Genomic DNA, 16,441 nt, shown 5'->3' on the forward strand with positions numbered 1-16,441 from the left:
CAAAAACGTAAATTAGTTCAGCTAAACTGCTAAATTCCAATAAGAAACAAACTAAGGAGTTGGCTACTTGTTCCCTAATAGGAGGAAAATGCATCTAAAACATAAATTGAAACCTTGTCATCTTAAGAAACTAACATTTGCACTAAATTATTCCCTCCCTAAACAACCCAGTTAATCTAATATTTACAACCCCTGTATACAAATCCAGATGGTCTTTCCTACCACTCAGCACCTGCCATCTCTGCAGCTTTTGATACCGTGATTCCCTCCTTCACAACCTCTTCCTTGGCTTCTCTTAGCCATCCTAATACCTTTCTTATTTTCTCTTTCTTTATCTCCTTTCTTGCTTCTATTTCTACCAGTTCTCTTCAGATCAAATTCTCAGACTTTCTACTCTTGCTCAATTTTCTTTCTTTATCCAAATCCTTAGATTGCTCATCCACTCTTGCCATGTCAACTATCACCTATATGCTCATTATTAAACCTGCAGTTTCAGCCCATGCCTTTATCCTTCATTTATTTCCAGTTGTTTACAGAACACGTCCAATCAGGTGGTCATGTTTGTAAAGTCAAATCTAGTGTATGTGATGATCAAAAATGAATCCTTTGCCTAACTTTTTGTTAGGATCTGAATGTGTACCCTCCAAAATTCAAGTGTGGCCAGTGTGATAGTATGGCGGAAAGGGGAGAGGTTGTTTAAGAGGTGATTTAGCCATTAAGCCATGAGGACTCCTTCCTCATGTATTGGATTAGGTACCCTTCGAAAAGGACTTGACAGAGGGAATTCAACCTTCTTACCCTTTGACGTTCTGCCATGTGAGGACATAGCATTTGTCCAGGATAGACTGGAGGCTCACCAGACACCAAACCTGCCAATGCCTTGATCTTGGACTTCCCAGTCTCCAAAACTGTGAAAAATAAATTTCTATTCTTTGCAAATTACATAGTTTGTGGGATTTTGTTGTTGCAGCCCAACACAGACTAAGACACTTCCTACTTCAATGAATGTCTCCTTGCTTCTATGAATTGCATATTCTGAAGTCAACTTTATTGCATCTCTCTCCCATCCCACACTCAGGTAGCCACTGAGTCCTAGTATATATGCTTCGCAAAGTTTCTGGTTTACTTCTCCTTCCCGTGTCATACTATGGTTACTCTAATTTACCATCATGACTTTACTTCTCATTTTTAATAGTAGACTACCTAGTTTCTGAGTGTCACCATTTTATTTAATGGTGGCTATACAATAGAGTAATTTTCACCATGTATTCCATTTGTTAAAAATCTATATTAGCTTCTTTTGCATATTTGAATAAATTTGAAAGTTTCAACCCCACATTAAGGGTCCGTATGAACTGGTCCCAGTTTACTTTCTCGATCTTGGAACATTCTTGATGCATCCTAAGAGGAATTGTTTCTTGCCTCTTAGAGCACTCCTAGCCACCTTGGCCCCTCACATGCTCCGATTCACTCCTAGTCTTTTTTCTCTCTGTTTCTGCTAAATCCTACACATCGTTAATACTCAGCTCAAAATTTTCCCTCTCCATGAAGTTTGTCTGAATTAACATGAGCCCGCGGTGGTTTTTCTCATGTTCTGAATTGCCTCTGAATGACACATACAGGCTGAAACTCTCTATACATTTTATAGGTTGCTTCCAAATTGTTTTCTAATTTATCATGAATATATGAATTTCCTCTCAAACAAGATTTAACATTCCAGAAGAGGAAGAACTGTGAATTGTACCATTTTAAATGTGTGAATTCTACCATTGAATTTAAAAATAACTATTCCTAGTTTCTGGGATGTTTCCCCAATTCAGTTATTTCTAATCCCTGTGTGAGTATCAGAGGAACTAGGTCTTTAATGGCATAATCAGATCCCATGTCAAATAAATGACATTAAGAGTGTCATTAATATAATTCCGTATTCCCAGAGATGTTCTGGAAGGTTTATATGTATTCTCATTTATTATAAATACATTGAAGCATGCTTAAATGAAAAAGACTGAATAAAAATGAATTTAAATGACAAAAACGGTGTTCCATAAATGTAAGAATTAATGTCTACATTCTCATGTAACTCCAGGCAAAAATACAGAACAAGTGGGGTTCCACTCATGAACCCACACTCCGAACTTGTTTTGCATTATTCTGCCCACTAAAATTATAAACCTATGGAATAGACCTGAATGTTAATTTTTATTATAATGTTAACATTATGATAATATAGCTAATAAATTATAGTCATCTAAGACACATTTCAAAAATATACAGGCAGGCATCTCTACTTCCACTTTCCCCTGCCCACCCCCCCCCCACCCCCACCATTCCTCTTAGGATGCATCCAGTATTTTGTGGTTTCCAAATTAGGCATCAATAAATGCAAAGATTTTTACTTCTGCAATATCATCTGTGTAATGTAAAATTCATTGACATTTATATTTGTGCTTTTATGAAACTACTAATCCCAAATGAAATGTTCTCGTGAATATGCAAGGAAAATGCTTTTGTTAGTATTTGGTCCTGTTTCTACATTTGATTTGTATTTGGTTTTTAAATGATTAATCAGAATAGGAGAGCACAGCTTTAGGTTAAAATGTTTTAGCAACACAAGACAGTCCCACACTATACAGAGCCATCCCGATATTTTACCAAAGCCTTTGAAATAATTTGTAATTTTTTCTATCCATTTAAAATATGTATATTTTAGAGAACTATACACTTAGCAAAGCATTTTTATTGCTCATAAAACTACCAATAAACAAACATCAAACATAAGATGTTGTGTTTTATATGTAGGAGGGAAAAAACAGGCTTGGATAATCCTGTCTACATTTTTGAGAAGTTGAAAAAAAAAAATGAGTTCTAGCAGGTAAGAAGAAAACACAGTTTTAAACCTAAACACCTGCAAAGAGAATGTCACCAGCTATGAGGTTCTCATGTTTTTGGATAAGGAGCTGGTCTTAATTAATAGGATATGAGGCAATGATGATGTTACTAATTTCGGAGTTCCTAATGAAACAGTAACACTACCCTTTAACTTAAGCCTACATTCTGATCATCATTAGCAGTAATGATGTCATGAGTAATGGCACTGTCTACCGTAATTACATGAGGGCTAGCGAGAAAAGTAAGAGCATGAAGGTAGCTCTAATTCTCTCAGAAGCTTGTGCCGTGGAGACCTACCTGTACTGCTCGGACTTCACACACAGATATTCTCATTTACAGGCCTGGCGTGACTGGCTTCACCAAAATAGTTCTCTATTATTTGTTGGCAGCTGATAAACCCATCAAAAGGTAACCAATAAGTAAGAACTTATTTGAAGAGTGACATTATCTTACTACTGTCAGGGAGTATGAGCAAAACAGCCATCGGTTTATCGTATTTATAAAGAGAAGAAGTGATTGGAAGTCGAACTTTTTCTTTTTTTAAGGTCAGAATCCTTAATCCAAAGCTGCAGAAGATTTGATGTCTTGTAAATGGTCAGTTTTATCTGAGATCTGGTGTTAGGGGCTTTGCCAAGTCAACGGTCTCCAAGTCAGTGGCAGAAAAAAAAAAAAACGGGGAAATTAGAACTTTCTCCAGCTTACGATAGAATGATATGTAAGAATTCACGGATGCCACAGAGTTAGGTGTCTGAGCATGATTTGCATCCAGTTATGGACGTCACTGGTTGTAATGCATGCATATTTATGCACACAGTGTGCAAACGGGGCTGATGTTTATAAACATGAAAAATATTAGAAAATTCATTAATTAGGGTCATTTGTACAATTCCGTTGTCAACTTTAATCACTTCTTTCAATTGATGTCTCCTTTAGAAAGTCAATCCGCCATAGTTATTTATTTATTCAGCAAGAATATTGTGTAGGCCTATCTTCTGCTTGACCTATAATGTTATTTCTAATAACATTCATTCATTTCATTCTAATAAGCAGGAAGTTAGGTTTAACACATTAACATACGCTGTTAAATTAATAAATACGTATTAACTGTTGGATTTCATTCCCTGTCAGTGGAAATAATGTGTTTGTATTGTGTAAGTATGTGTCTGTTGACTATTTTTTATCTTTTAGTGAGGGCCTAAACAAAATTAGTATTTTCGCAAATTTAAACATCTGTAAAGGCTTAGGTCGTTCCATGAGGCAAACAATAAGTTTCTTTCTGAATCAAACTACGTAAGATAACCTAATTAACTTATCATTAGCTATTCCAGTAATAAACATTATCTCAGCACACACAGTTACACAGCGGTTCTAAGCACCCTCATTCAGTACACACTCGCGCTCCCAGTCCCCCAATTTTTCCATCTTTCCATCTTTTCTGTGCAACTTTCTATCTGGCTGATTTTTTTTTTTTTTTTTTTTTTTTTTTTTTGAGACAGGATCTTGCTCTGTTGCCCAGGCTGGAGGGCAGTGGTGCAGTCATAGCTCACTGCAGTCTTGAACTCCTAGGCTCAAGCAATCCTCCCTTACCAGCCTCCTGGGTAGCTGGGACTACAGGCATGTCACCACAACATCCAGCTAATTTTTAAATTTTTTATAGAGACAAGGTCTCACTGTGTTGCCAGAGTGGTCTCAAACTCCTGGCCTCAGGTGATCCTCCTGCCTTAGCCTCCCAAAGTGCTGGGATTACAGTTGTGAGCCACTGTACCCAGCCTGATTGTATTCTCTATATAAACCTTTCCCCTCCACCATGCCCGCCTCAAAGTTTATTTTAATTGTGTCTCCATTGGCAAAAGTCTGTTATATACCCAAGCTTCCTTTGACTGTTTAAAGGTAGTTGATTTTCTTCATAGAACAGACTGACTTCCTGACATTCCCCCTGCTAATTGCTTTCTCTACTGTTATTCCTACTGTGTCTAAAATGTAAGCACTCTGTTTAAAGAGCATAGCCTTTAATAGGCTTTCCTCCCCACTCCACTTACTGTCAAGTTCTGAATCAAGGGAAAGTGGGTATCCATGGAAGAGAGCAGGCCCTGGGCTTCGGGACAGTGGGTGAGTGATTTGTTGGGAAGTGAATGAGTAAATAGTCTTATTCCCCCAATCTAAAAGCTAGAGAATTTGTTCAAGATTTTTTTTTCGTTTCTATAAAACTGACCTTAAGTAAGTCAATTAATCCTTCTAGACTTCCATTCTGTTGCCTATGAAATGAAAGTGTTGAATAAGCTCATCATGATGATCCCTTTTAAAATTAAACTTTGTGATTCTGAGATACCATACAAAGGATTTTTAAAAGAACTGAAAAGTCTTACTGAAGTTAAGAACAATGTTCTCAAAGACATCCTGGTATTTTGTAATTAAAATTTAGCGTTTGCTCTTCATCCTGAAAGGTGACAGCACCAGCTTTCCCCAGATGCATCTCAAAGCCAGGTGGGAAAATAATAAGTGTGAACCATCTGAAGCCATGGTACACTCTAAATGCACACACATGAGAAATGAGGATTCTCACAAAAAACGGAGGCATGCATTGACCACTGGGGTGTATTTGATGAGAGTGGAAGACCAGGGCTCCCTTCTCTTCGTTGCTACAGCAGTGGGCTTAGGTGTTCCGAAGGAATGCTGTCTCTCAGTAGACACCAGCTTACCAGGCCCTCGGCCAGCCTCTGCCCAGATGCTCCAGCTGTTCCTCCTCCACATAGCTGGGCTCTGATTAATTCCAGGAGGCCTTGCCTGGTAGAAAGAATCTGCAGCATCACAGACCTCTTACAGGATGAGGGCTCAATTTAAACCCCAAGATATGTCTCCACACTGCGGGAGACCTTCTTCCTGGAAGTCATCTTTCAGAAACTGAAATTCTATTACCCACCTTGTGCAGCCTTTGTTGTCCATCCTAGCCCTGAAAAAGAACTCCTGCTTTTCACCCTGACATTCCCTTCCTGAAAAGGCTCGATTCCTCCATAGGGATTCACCCTAGCCCAATTGTTCCTTCTTCCCTTCAGCCTGCCAGCTCCAAAGCTGGCTATTTTTCACTAGTTCTGCCCCCAGATCTGCAGCCTAGCAGTTCAAACAAATTATTCAGCACATAAATTCAGCATTTCAAACAAATTATTTTGGCACAAATGAAGGGGTTAGTGGAATGGGTCTTATTGGCATCTTCCAATATTCAGCCCATTTTTTATCCATACCTCATTGATTTCAGCTTTGACGCAGATATAAAGACATACTAAAGAGCATGAAATGTGTTATTAGTCAAAAGAAGAGCTCCTCCATCATTCTTGGCTAAGTGTATCCAGGAATACATTTACAAGTGACTATCCAATTAGTCTCTTCTCAACTAATTTCATACTAACTAAAAGGTAGAACATTGTTCCATTTTTAAACTTGGCATTCTTATGATACTGACTTTAAGTTAAAATTTAGAAGAACCTTGGTGTTCTTACAGCTTTGCAAGAACAAGATTCATAGCGTTGATCAAAGATTTTGATACAAAAAGCTTATCATCTACATCTAAATCTGAAAGTTAGAGATCACTGGAAATACTGAGCTTTATCTTCTTCAATTTCAAGTGTTTGAGGAAACACTGTTGGGCAAGGACAGTTTTTATGCTGGCCAGTGATAGTGACACACTTGTGTAAACAATGCATTTATTAACTGTATTAATGTTGGCATCTTCTAATGCCTTCAGCATTATCTGATCAATAAATTTATTCATTCTTTCTTCCCCTTCTTTTCTTTTCTTATTTTAAACTTATATGGTTATGCTTCCATCAGAAATGGGCTTAAAAGACTTGCTCTGCCCTTATTCACTCATTAAATATCAAAATCCTCACCAAAACTGCCATCGCATTAGAGCAATATCAGAGCCATATGACTCACCAACAATTCTATTTCTCTATTTCTCTAACAACTGCAGTCAATGACGTAGGCACCATTAGAAATTCTTTCTTCCTCTGCTGTAGGCTGATAAGATCAAGTCAAGCAGCTTTATTCACTTCATGCAATCCAACTTCATTGAAAAGAGAAAATGGAAAAGGATCAGTTCATACTAAAAATACTTTAGTGGTACTTCATTGCTTGTTTTTAAATATAATCTTTGAAAAAAACAGTAGTAGGTGAGTCAACACATCTGCAGCTACACACACACACACACACACACACCTTTGTGATATTTCTGTCAACAGATAATAAAATAGTTACCCAATTCCAGTGTTTTATTCTAGGTGTTTTTACTGTTTTGTTCTACATTTTTACTCGTCTCTTCTATATTTATATCTAAAGCCTGTTCCTGGTTTATATTTTCCATTGATTAAATTTCCTCTGATTATTAACATAAAGGAAAGGAAAGTGAAGGTGGTCTAAGACCCATCAACTTTGCTTATTCACATTTTCATGATCAGTAAAATATTCTCTGGTCCCACTGAAATGTATACTGCTATATGTTCTAATCAGCAAACTTGAACTCCCCCCAACTCATTAAGCTTCCTGGCATTCATCTTTCTGAATTAAGATGTTTGAAGGTTTTCATATAACCCATTACTCTATCAGACCAGACCCCTTTCTACATTTCTGTTGGGAAAATATTCTTTGTGGTAAATACCTCCTTTAATATTTTTCATCTGTCATGTGTGTGTGATTCCAAGGGCCCAAACTTTCTGCTTGTAATAATATTTCAAAATTTTTACCATTAAATGCATTTCATTCACTATTTTTCAAAGTAAGTGGTGTTTTGAAGATATTGCAATTACATCTTTTATTTCGTTTTTTACTGATTCTAAAAAAGAACATTCTGCTGAAATGATGAAGCAGTTGCTAAATTATAAGGTAGTCTTTAATGTATTATTTAACTTTTATTATTTAACAATTTGTAAAACAAAAGCAACAATTTTACATTACCATATTATTCATTGTAATAGAGATTTTTGTTTTCTACATTCTAAAATATTTATAGTGAATATTTTCAAAGATTTAATCTAAATACCAATAATTTGGGCTAATGTTTTTTTTCCAGAGAAAAGAAGTAAAAACCATGTGATTTTTTATGTCACTTTTAATACTGTCTCTCTTCTTCTTTTAACAGTTTTTGAATATTTTGAACTGAAAGTACTAGATTAATTAGAAGACTAGTTCTAGGTCCACATGTTATCTCAGAAGTTAAAAGTAAAAAATCTTGAGGTATATATTGTCTTTTTATCCTTAAGACTTAGGTAACAGAATTTAATTTTGTTTTTATTTGCTTATAAATTTAAAAATTAAAGAGTATTTAAGAACTACAAGAACTAGAGAAACGTAGAAAGAAAAATACTTGATACGGTATTTACAAAAAAGTGAAAGAAAACCAACAACAATTTTTAAACTAATTTTACCCAATTCTTTATGTGGGTTTTTTCTTTTATTTGTTTTGTTGTTTTGTTGTTTTGTTTTTTGTTTTGTTTTGTTTTTTGTTTTTTGGGGTTTTTTTTGAGACAGAGTCTCTCTCTGTCACCAGGCTGGAGTGCAGTGGCGCGATCTCAGCTCACTGAAACCTCTGCCTCCCGGGTTCAAGTGATTCTCCTGCCTCAGCCTCCTGAGTAGCTGGGACTACAGGCATGCACCACCACACCCAGCTAGTTTTTGTATTTTTAGAAGAGATGGGGTTTCACCATGTTGGCCAGGATGGTCTCAATCTCTTGACCTTGTGATCCTCCCGCCTCAGCCTCCCAGTGTGGTGGGATTACAGGCTATGTTTTTTGTATAGGATCCTAACAGTATTTTTATCAACTACCCTGGATATTTTATTCTTGAAGTAAACCTAATTTTTTCCCACTGACCTTTTTTCTTGATTTTTAAAAATTTTAGGACAAATTTTTTAACCTTTCATTTTATATTGGTTGTAGTATTTATTGCTGTAATTAATTTAGCAGAGAGATGTTCTCACACACTCATAAATTCATGAAAATAACAACTTCTATGCTGAAATTTTTCACACTTCATCACAGCCCAAATATGAGTTTATCTTCAAAATTTGAGGAAGATCTTAAATCTTCATTGATTTATGAGAACATTTTAAAGGCATCCTGATTGCCAATGCCAAAAATATTTTGGCTTCTTGATTAATTTAGATTCAAAAATAGCTTAACTTACTCTTCAAATTTAGTGGAAAAACTTTCCATTAAGAGTTTTAATTAAGTAAAAATATGTCATCTTTAATCACTTTACCTGATTATCATCATTCAAAAGTTCACAAAAACTTAAAGGAAAGTAAATAAATTTTGGCTCAAGATGTATTAAAATAATATTAGTTGAAAATCAGTATATTCTTTCACATATCATATATAAATATGGTCCAATACCAAACATTCAGCAGTTCCAATACGTATATTTGTTGTTTGTTTCCCATTTAAGATATACCTATATATAGCTCCAGTTCACAACAGACATACCTAGAGATTTAGAATTTCAGTCTTGACTTGAAACTGACCCTCTTGCAATATACTCTTGAAGTCTCCAAGCCCCTTGAGTCCTCTTTTTCCTTCAGTGCAATTCAATAAATTCAATTCCACAAGCATTAATTGGGCCTCTGCTCTGTGTAAAGCACTCAGTGTGAAGTGCAACAAAGAATAGGCTTCCGTCTTTCTCCTCCGTGATTTCACCACAGGAGAGACCTGCTCCCTTCCTTTCCCCCGGAGCACAAGAGCTGCCAGTAGTATCGTTGAGAACAGAATTATAACATCTGGATATTGCTAGTTTCTTTATTCTCTCTCAAGTGGCAAATCAGTTCAATGAGAGGCATCTATTTCTGCCTGAGTTTTTGTGCACCTGCCCACATGTGCACACACTCTCATTTCCGTCATTTTCTCCAAGGCAGGTAGACTTCCGTATTTTTAACTTTCTTTCAGATTGGAGCCCAATTTTTAGTACAGAGAGGAAACCAATGATGCTGACTTGCAGCAAACCTTCTCAATGATCAAGGGACAGGAAGAATTTGACACTAAGCTTCCTCCCAAAAATCATAGCCCTTCTATAACTAAGAAACTTCTAATGGTGTGAGGTGCCCCAAGTATATTCTACCTCTGTACCAAAAAAAATATATGAGCCTGTCTGTCATGATGAATCAAAATTACTGGATGGAATCACATGGCCAAAGTCACCTGGTGATGTCACTCATGGAGTGACCATATCCACTACTCACGCCACCCTAGTAAGGATCTTGAAATAAATTTTACAATTCCTCTGCCACAAGGGAAAAACCCAACCAAAACCAAGCCTCTAGCCTGTCCTATGGGGCTACCCAGAATGGGATCCACCTTTGAGGCTAAATTCAATATCTGATCTCCCAAACGAAAGGAAAAGGCATCAGTGTTGGCCAAAACAGTTGTTTAGATGAGCCTCTGATCCTGCCTACAAGAATTATTTTAGAGATTTCCAATGGAAATTACTCAATATGTCGTGAGAGTCTATGAGCTTTATGATCTTTCTTCCATGGCATGTGCTCTATAATATTTGCAGATATTTACTGAAAATACTCACAGCTGAAAGCCCCTAACACACCCCTCACATCAGCACACACATTTCCACTTTCTTTCCAGCTGCCCGCTAAATTTAAAATCACAGAATTTCACCACAATGTTTTCCCACTTTTGGATCTTGTTTAGTGTAAAGTTATGGATTAAAATATAAAATACCAGCAAAAATACCGGGTATGTCAGAGTCTTCAAATTATTATTATAAAGTAAAGTTTTATGTTTTTATCAAGTTTTCACATCCTTCATTCCCCCCCACCCAAAAAAACTGCAAAAGGATTATTTAGCAAGTTCTTTTTCCCCTCTTCTGTAATGGGAATTTTCACTCATGTGACTTAGATAATATGTAACAAAGAAGCACATTACAGGACTGGATAGTGTTAATCGAATTAGAGCCATATGATACCAGACAGAAACGTATGGCTTTGCATAAAAATCTGGGAGTCCATATGTTCTCAATAAAGAGGTAAATGCGTGTGCATGTGAGCATACACACACACACACACACACACACTTATATACAATTTGGAGATAGGTATATTTGTATATCTTAAAAGAGCCAAAAAAAAAAAAACCCTATTAAAAGAGCAGAAAATTTGTTTAAGTTCCTTGTATATTCTGGATATTAGACCTTTATCAGATGGGTAGATTGCAAAAATGTTCTCCCATTCCGTAGGTTGCTTGTTCACTCTGATGATAGTTTCTTTTGCTGTGCAGAAGCTCTTCAGTTTAATTAGATCCCATTTGTCAATTTTGGCTTTTGTTGTAATTGCTTTTGGTGTTTTAGTCAGGAAGTCTTTGCCCCAAAGGATTGTAGATCATTCTACTATAAAGACACATGCACGCGTATGTTTATTGCAGCACTGTTTGAGATAGCAAAGACTTGGAACCAACCCAAATGCCCATCAATGATAGACTGGATAAAGAAAATGTGGCACATATACACCATGGAATACTATGCAGCCATGAAAAAGAATGAATTCATGTCCTTTGCAGGGACATGGATGAAGCTGGAAGCCATCATGCTCAGCAAACTAACACAGGAACAGAAAATCAAACACCACATATTCTCACTCATAAGTAGAAGTTGAACAATGAGAGCACAGGGAGGGGAACATTACATACCAGGGCCTGTCAGGGGGTGGGGGGCAAGGTGAGGGAGAGCATTAAGATAAATACCTAATGGGTGTTATCCAGACACACATACATTTAGATATTCAAAGCATGTGCTCTTGGAGAACAGGAAGTTTTTTTCACATGATACTGAGTGATGAGGTGAAGATTAACTGAAAGTAGCATTCGTTGTAGAATATTTAAGTACGTTGTGTTTTACAATCGGTATTGATTTCAGCATCATCTGTATGAATATAACTTTTCAATTTTAAGTTTGGGGAAAAATGCTTCTATTCTTTCACAGTTTGATTGCTTTATCCATGAGTGGTTTCCTACTGAGGAAAACAGAAAGCCTTAATTTACTCAGCAAATAGTCACTGGATGCCCCACCTAGTACGAGGGATCCTATTCACCACACTCTCTTAAGGAAGCATCTATATTGCTTTAAGATCTACTTAATTTCTGATTTAAAAAAAAAACTCAACTTCTGAATTAGTTTTTTATATGTGTATATATATTTGCTATGATTGTTCAACTCTTCCACCAATTTGGAGAAAAAAACAACCTTGGAGGAAAGAACATTTACCTTCTCACTCTACAGTTGAACAGTGTCTAGAATTATATTATGCATACAGAAAGTGCTCTGTAAGAGTCTGCATTTCTAAGAAACCAGTTCAACAGCTGATGCCTTTGACTGTTCCTGTCCCCTCCTTTTCTTGGCTAGAGATAGGAGTGACTGGTAACAATTCCAGCTTCATTAGGCGATACTCACCTCTGGCCCAGCCTGTCATCTCTCCAACGGAACACATCATCCCTAATCAACTCAAACCAATTACTGTGTGACTTTGGGTAATTAACCTCCCTGTGTCTCAGTCTCAACTTCTGTAAAGTGCAGGACTTGCAAAATATTGCTGCTAAGGTCCTTCCATACCTAAAACACCTTTGGTCTAAAAATACATCACCTTGGGAAGCAAGCTTCCTTCCTTGCAAGTCAAGATTTGAATGCAACCTGGGGCCCTGAGGAGGGCCCCTCCTGGTTCTACCCCTACTGTGCTGGCTACACCTTCTCATCTGACTGATGCATCCTCATTCTGGGCCTGATCACTAAGTGTGTGACCCAGGGCTCAATCCTCCTGCCTCTTCTTTTTCATTCTGCACTCGAGTCTTGGATGAGTTCAATTCCATGGCTTTAGATGTTGTCTCTATAAAACAATGATTTCCATGTATATCTCTAGCCCCACCCTCTCCCTTGAACTCCAGATGTGTATCTAACTGTCCATTCAACATCTCCTCTTGGATGTTCTTTGGGCATCTAAAACTTAAGTTGAAAACTGAGCTCTTGATATCCACTTCCATATTTACTGCAAAAACTTGATACTCTTCAGTATCAAGATCTCTTCTGAAGCCTGCAGCCCCAGAGCATCCCCACGATCTGACTGTTTCACATCCTCCACCGCCACCACCTTTGGATGCAAGCCACTATCAGTCCTCACATGATCTACGGAGGATCTAACACCCCCCTGACTCTCTCGTGCTTCTTCTCTTTCTTCCCCAGAGCCTATGACCCACCTAGCAGCCTTTTAGAACCAAGCAGATCATGTAACTTACAAGATTAAAATATTCTAAGGATAAACACTTGAGGTGGTAGATGCCCCAATCACTCTGATTTGATCATTATCCACTGTATGCCTGTATCAAAACATCACATGTACCCGATAATTATATAAAACTAGTATATGCCCATACTAATTAAAAATTTAAAAATTCAAAAAACGATTCCAAGGATTTCTGATCACAATTAAAATCTAGGTGTTTATGTATGGCCTATAAGGCCTAAAGGGATGTGACCCCTGGAAAACTCTCAAGTCTCTGTCACTCATTCACTGACCTCTTTGTCACTGTTCACAACACTCTGTCCTCGCTGCCAGCCATGTCCCTCCCTCAAATGCTCCATGATTCTCTCTCACTGCATCCAGGTCCCTGCTGGAGAACCGTCTCTTTGTTCCAAGCTATATAAAATAGTGATATGGTTTGGCTTTGTGTCCCCACCCAAATCTCATCTTATAGCTCCCATAATTCCCATGATGTGGGAGGGACCACGTGGGAGATGATTGAATCATGGAGGGGGTGGGTCTTTTCCCATGCTGTTCTCATGATAGCGAATGGGTCTCACGAACTCTGATAGTTTTGAAAATGGGAGTTTCCCTGCACAAGCTCTCTTTGCCTGCTGCCATCCATGTAAGATGTGACTTGCTCCTCCCTTACCTTCTGCCTTGATTGTGAGGCCTCCCCAGCCACATGGAACTGTAAGTCAAATAAGTCAAAAAAGTCAAAAAGGTTTCTTTTGTAAATTGCCCGGTCTCAGATATGTCTTTATCAACAGTGTGAAAACGGACTAATACAGATAGTACATGCTCCTGTGTTTTCCCTATTCTTCTGTCTTGCCTTATTTTTTACAGCACATATTGTTCCTGGCATAATTATATATATTTAAGTATGTATTTCTTATCTCCTTCACTTACTGGTGGTAAGCCTTCATAAGAGCAGATGTGCTTTGTTTACAACATAGATACCAAGTATCTACAACAGTGCCAGACACATAGTAGGTATCTAACAAATATGTATTAGATCATGACTCATAGCCTTGATTCATGAGTTCCAGCTGCTGGGCAAATCTAACCTGTGCTGCTGAGGTGATCCCATGGAAGAGCTCAGTTCTGAAGGATTTCCTAACATCACACATGATAAGGATAGTAACAAAACGTGCCCACTATGTTGCAGATAATGAGCTGAGCTTTTTTTTTTTTTTTTCTGGCTTTTTTGAAGATGTTTTCTTTTACATGAACTACTATGAAAGAAAAAAATTAGATAGCAAATAGAAATGTTTAATATGTTTTGATGTTTACATATGATACACTATTTATTTATTTATTCATTCATTCTGTCACCCAGGCTGGAGTGCAGTGGCACAACCACGGCTCACCTTAAAAGCCTGGTATGCTTCCTAATTCTCTTGATTAGTTAGCATTGACAAGTCAACTTGAAATGGCTAGAGAGAGTCTACCAGGTCATCATCAGTCTATTCTTCCTCCTCATGTCTGGATTTCTTTGAGATATCATCATTATCTTCACAGCCTTTCCTCTTCTTCATAATTACATTAAGTGCAAGCTCAGCAGAATGACATTGCTCCAACTTCGGTTTCAGAACAGCAGCTTCTTCAGATCTGGGTGGTACATACTTTTTTACTCAATTTCTCATGCTTTTCATTATATCTCGTAACAGTGACAAGCAAGTTCTGTTCTCTCTCAACATCAGACTGTCCAATAAATAACTTTCCGTAGTAATTCCAGTCCTGAAGGCACTGGATAAAATGGCAGGCAGGGCAATTTGGGAAGGTGTGTATAAACAGTAAGCAGCCATCAATGTGATTCTATTAAGAAGTTCATCATCTGTTTTCCTCAAAATGTCTGGATTCTCCAGCATTGCATAGTAAGTCTTTAAATCAGTGAGGAAGCACTCCAGTGGTCTATAGGGGTTGTGGACAGTCAGATGGAAATTTACGTTGCTGTATAAAAGGTAGTTCGTATTCCAAACTCTGTTCAAGTGTCTCCTCCTGTACGAGAGAACTCTCCCGAAGGTTTCCAACAAACTGGGGACTAGATACATTCAGTTTATCTACTTTGTAGGCCAAAAATGCACATGTGAGCATTATTATCCAGGAGTGATAGTTATTACTTATTTACCTTACTTAATCCTCAAGCGAAACTACCTCGGATTCTCCTTTTGAGATGAGAAACCAGAAGGATGGGCTTCACAGTTAAGAAGTAAGTGACGAATCACAGACTTTGTGCTCCTAAGTTTCTCGCTTTAACACAAAGCACAAACTCAAATGCCAATAGGGCCAAGCCATATTGAAAATGAGGGCTGCAGATTGGGAATCATCCAGTGGCCTTTCTTGCTTTTTCTTGTTTCTTGTTTTTGTTTTTGTTTAGAGATGGGTCTTGCTATGTTTCCCGGGCTGGACTGGAACTCCTGAGCCCAAGCGATCCTCTCGCTTCTGCCTCCCGAGTAGCTGGGACTACAGGCATGGGCCACCACTGTACTAGGCTTCTTCTTGTTTTCTTTTGTCAACTCACCTTTTTATTTTTTATTTTTTGAGATGGAGTCTCACTATGTCGCCCAGGCTGGAGTGCCCTGGCACAATCTTGGCTCACAGCAACCTGCGCCTCGTGAGTTCAAGCGATTCTCCTGCCTCAGCCTCCCCAGTAGCTGTGATTACAGGCACCCACCACCACACCCAGCACATGCCACCGCACTCTATTTTTAGTAAAGTTGGGGTTTCACCATGTTGGCCAGGCTGGTCTCGAACTCCTGACCTCAGGTTATTCGCCTGTCTCTGAGCCCAGCCTGTCAACTCACTTTTAATAGAAATCAGAATGCAGATAGGTATTTCTCTGTCATTAAAGAAAAAATGGTAGTCACTAATTCATGATGATGCTTCAAAGCAGGAGTGCAACAGGGAGCCAGGAGGACCGTGGCAAGTTGGAGTGTATGGGCAAATCCTGAAGGGGAAGATCCCATGTGTCCCTAGCCAGTCACTGCCATGAAGTAAGACTGGCCCAGAGCAGCCAAATCTTCCACTACCTCAAAAGAAACTGGAAATTCAGATTTTTCTATGAAATCTCCCAAGATTTTCAATGTTAGGTAAACACAGACAAGCACTAGAGACCATACAAGGCTTGTCTGCAGGCCAGGACACAGAGGCATGTCAGCCCACAGACACCGTGGTTGTAAATCCTGGCCAGAGTCCTGTGCTGGGTATTACAGTGAAGGGATGAGACGTGGAGAAGGGAAGAGGGAGAGAAGGTGACCTGAGAGACAGCTC

General features: G+C 38.2%; 1 protein-coding gene and 1 pseudogene across 7 annotated transcripts in view; one reads left to right on the forward strand and one right to left on the reverse strand.

Moving 5' to 3' along the window:
- Window positions 1-16,441, forward strand: part of TENM3 (teneurin transmembrane protein 3) — a 1,355,412-nt gene that overhangs the window by 443,572 nt on the left and 895,399 nt on the right. The window lies entirely within an intron of this gene.
- On the reverse strand, window positions 14,440-15,298 carry CCNHP1 (cyclin H pseudogene 1; annotated as a pseudogene).

Source organism: Homo sapiens, chromosome 4 (assembly GCF_000001405.40).
Source record: "Homo sapiens chromosome 4, GRCh38.p14 Primary Assembly".
NCBI classification, from domain to species: Eukaryota; Metazoa; Chordata; class Mammalia; order Primates; family Hominidae; genus Homo; species Homo sapiens.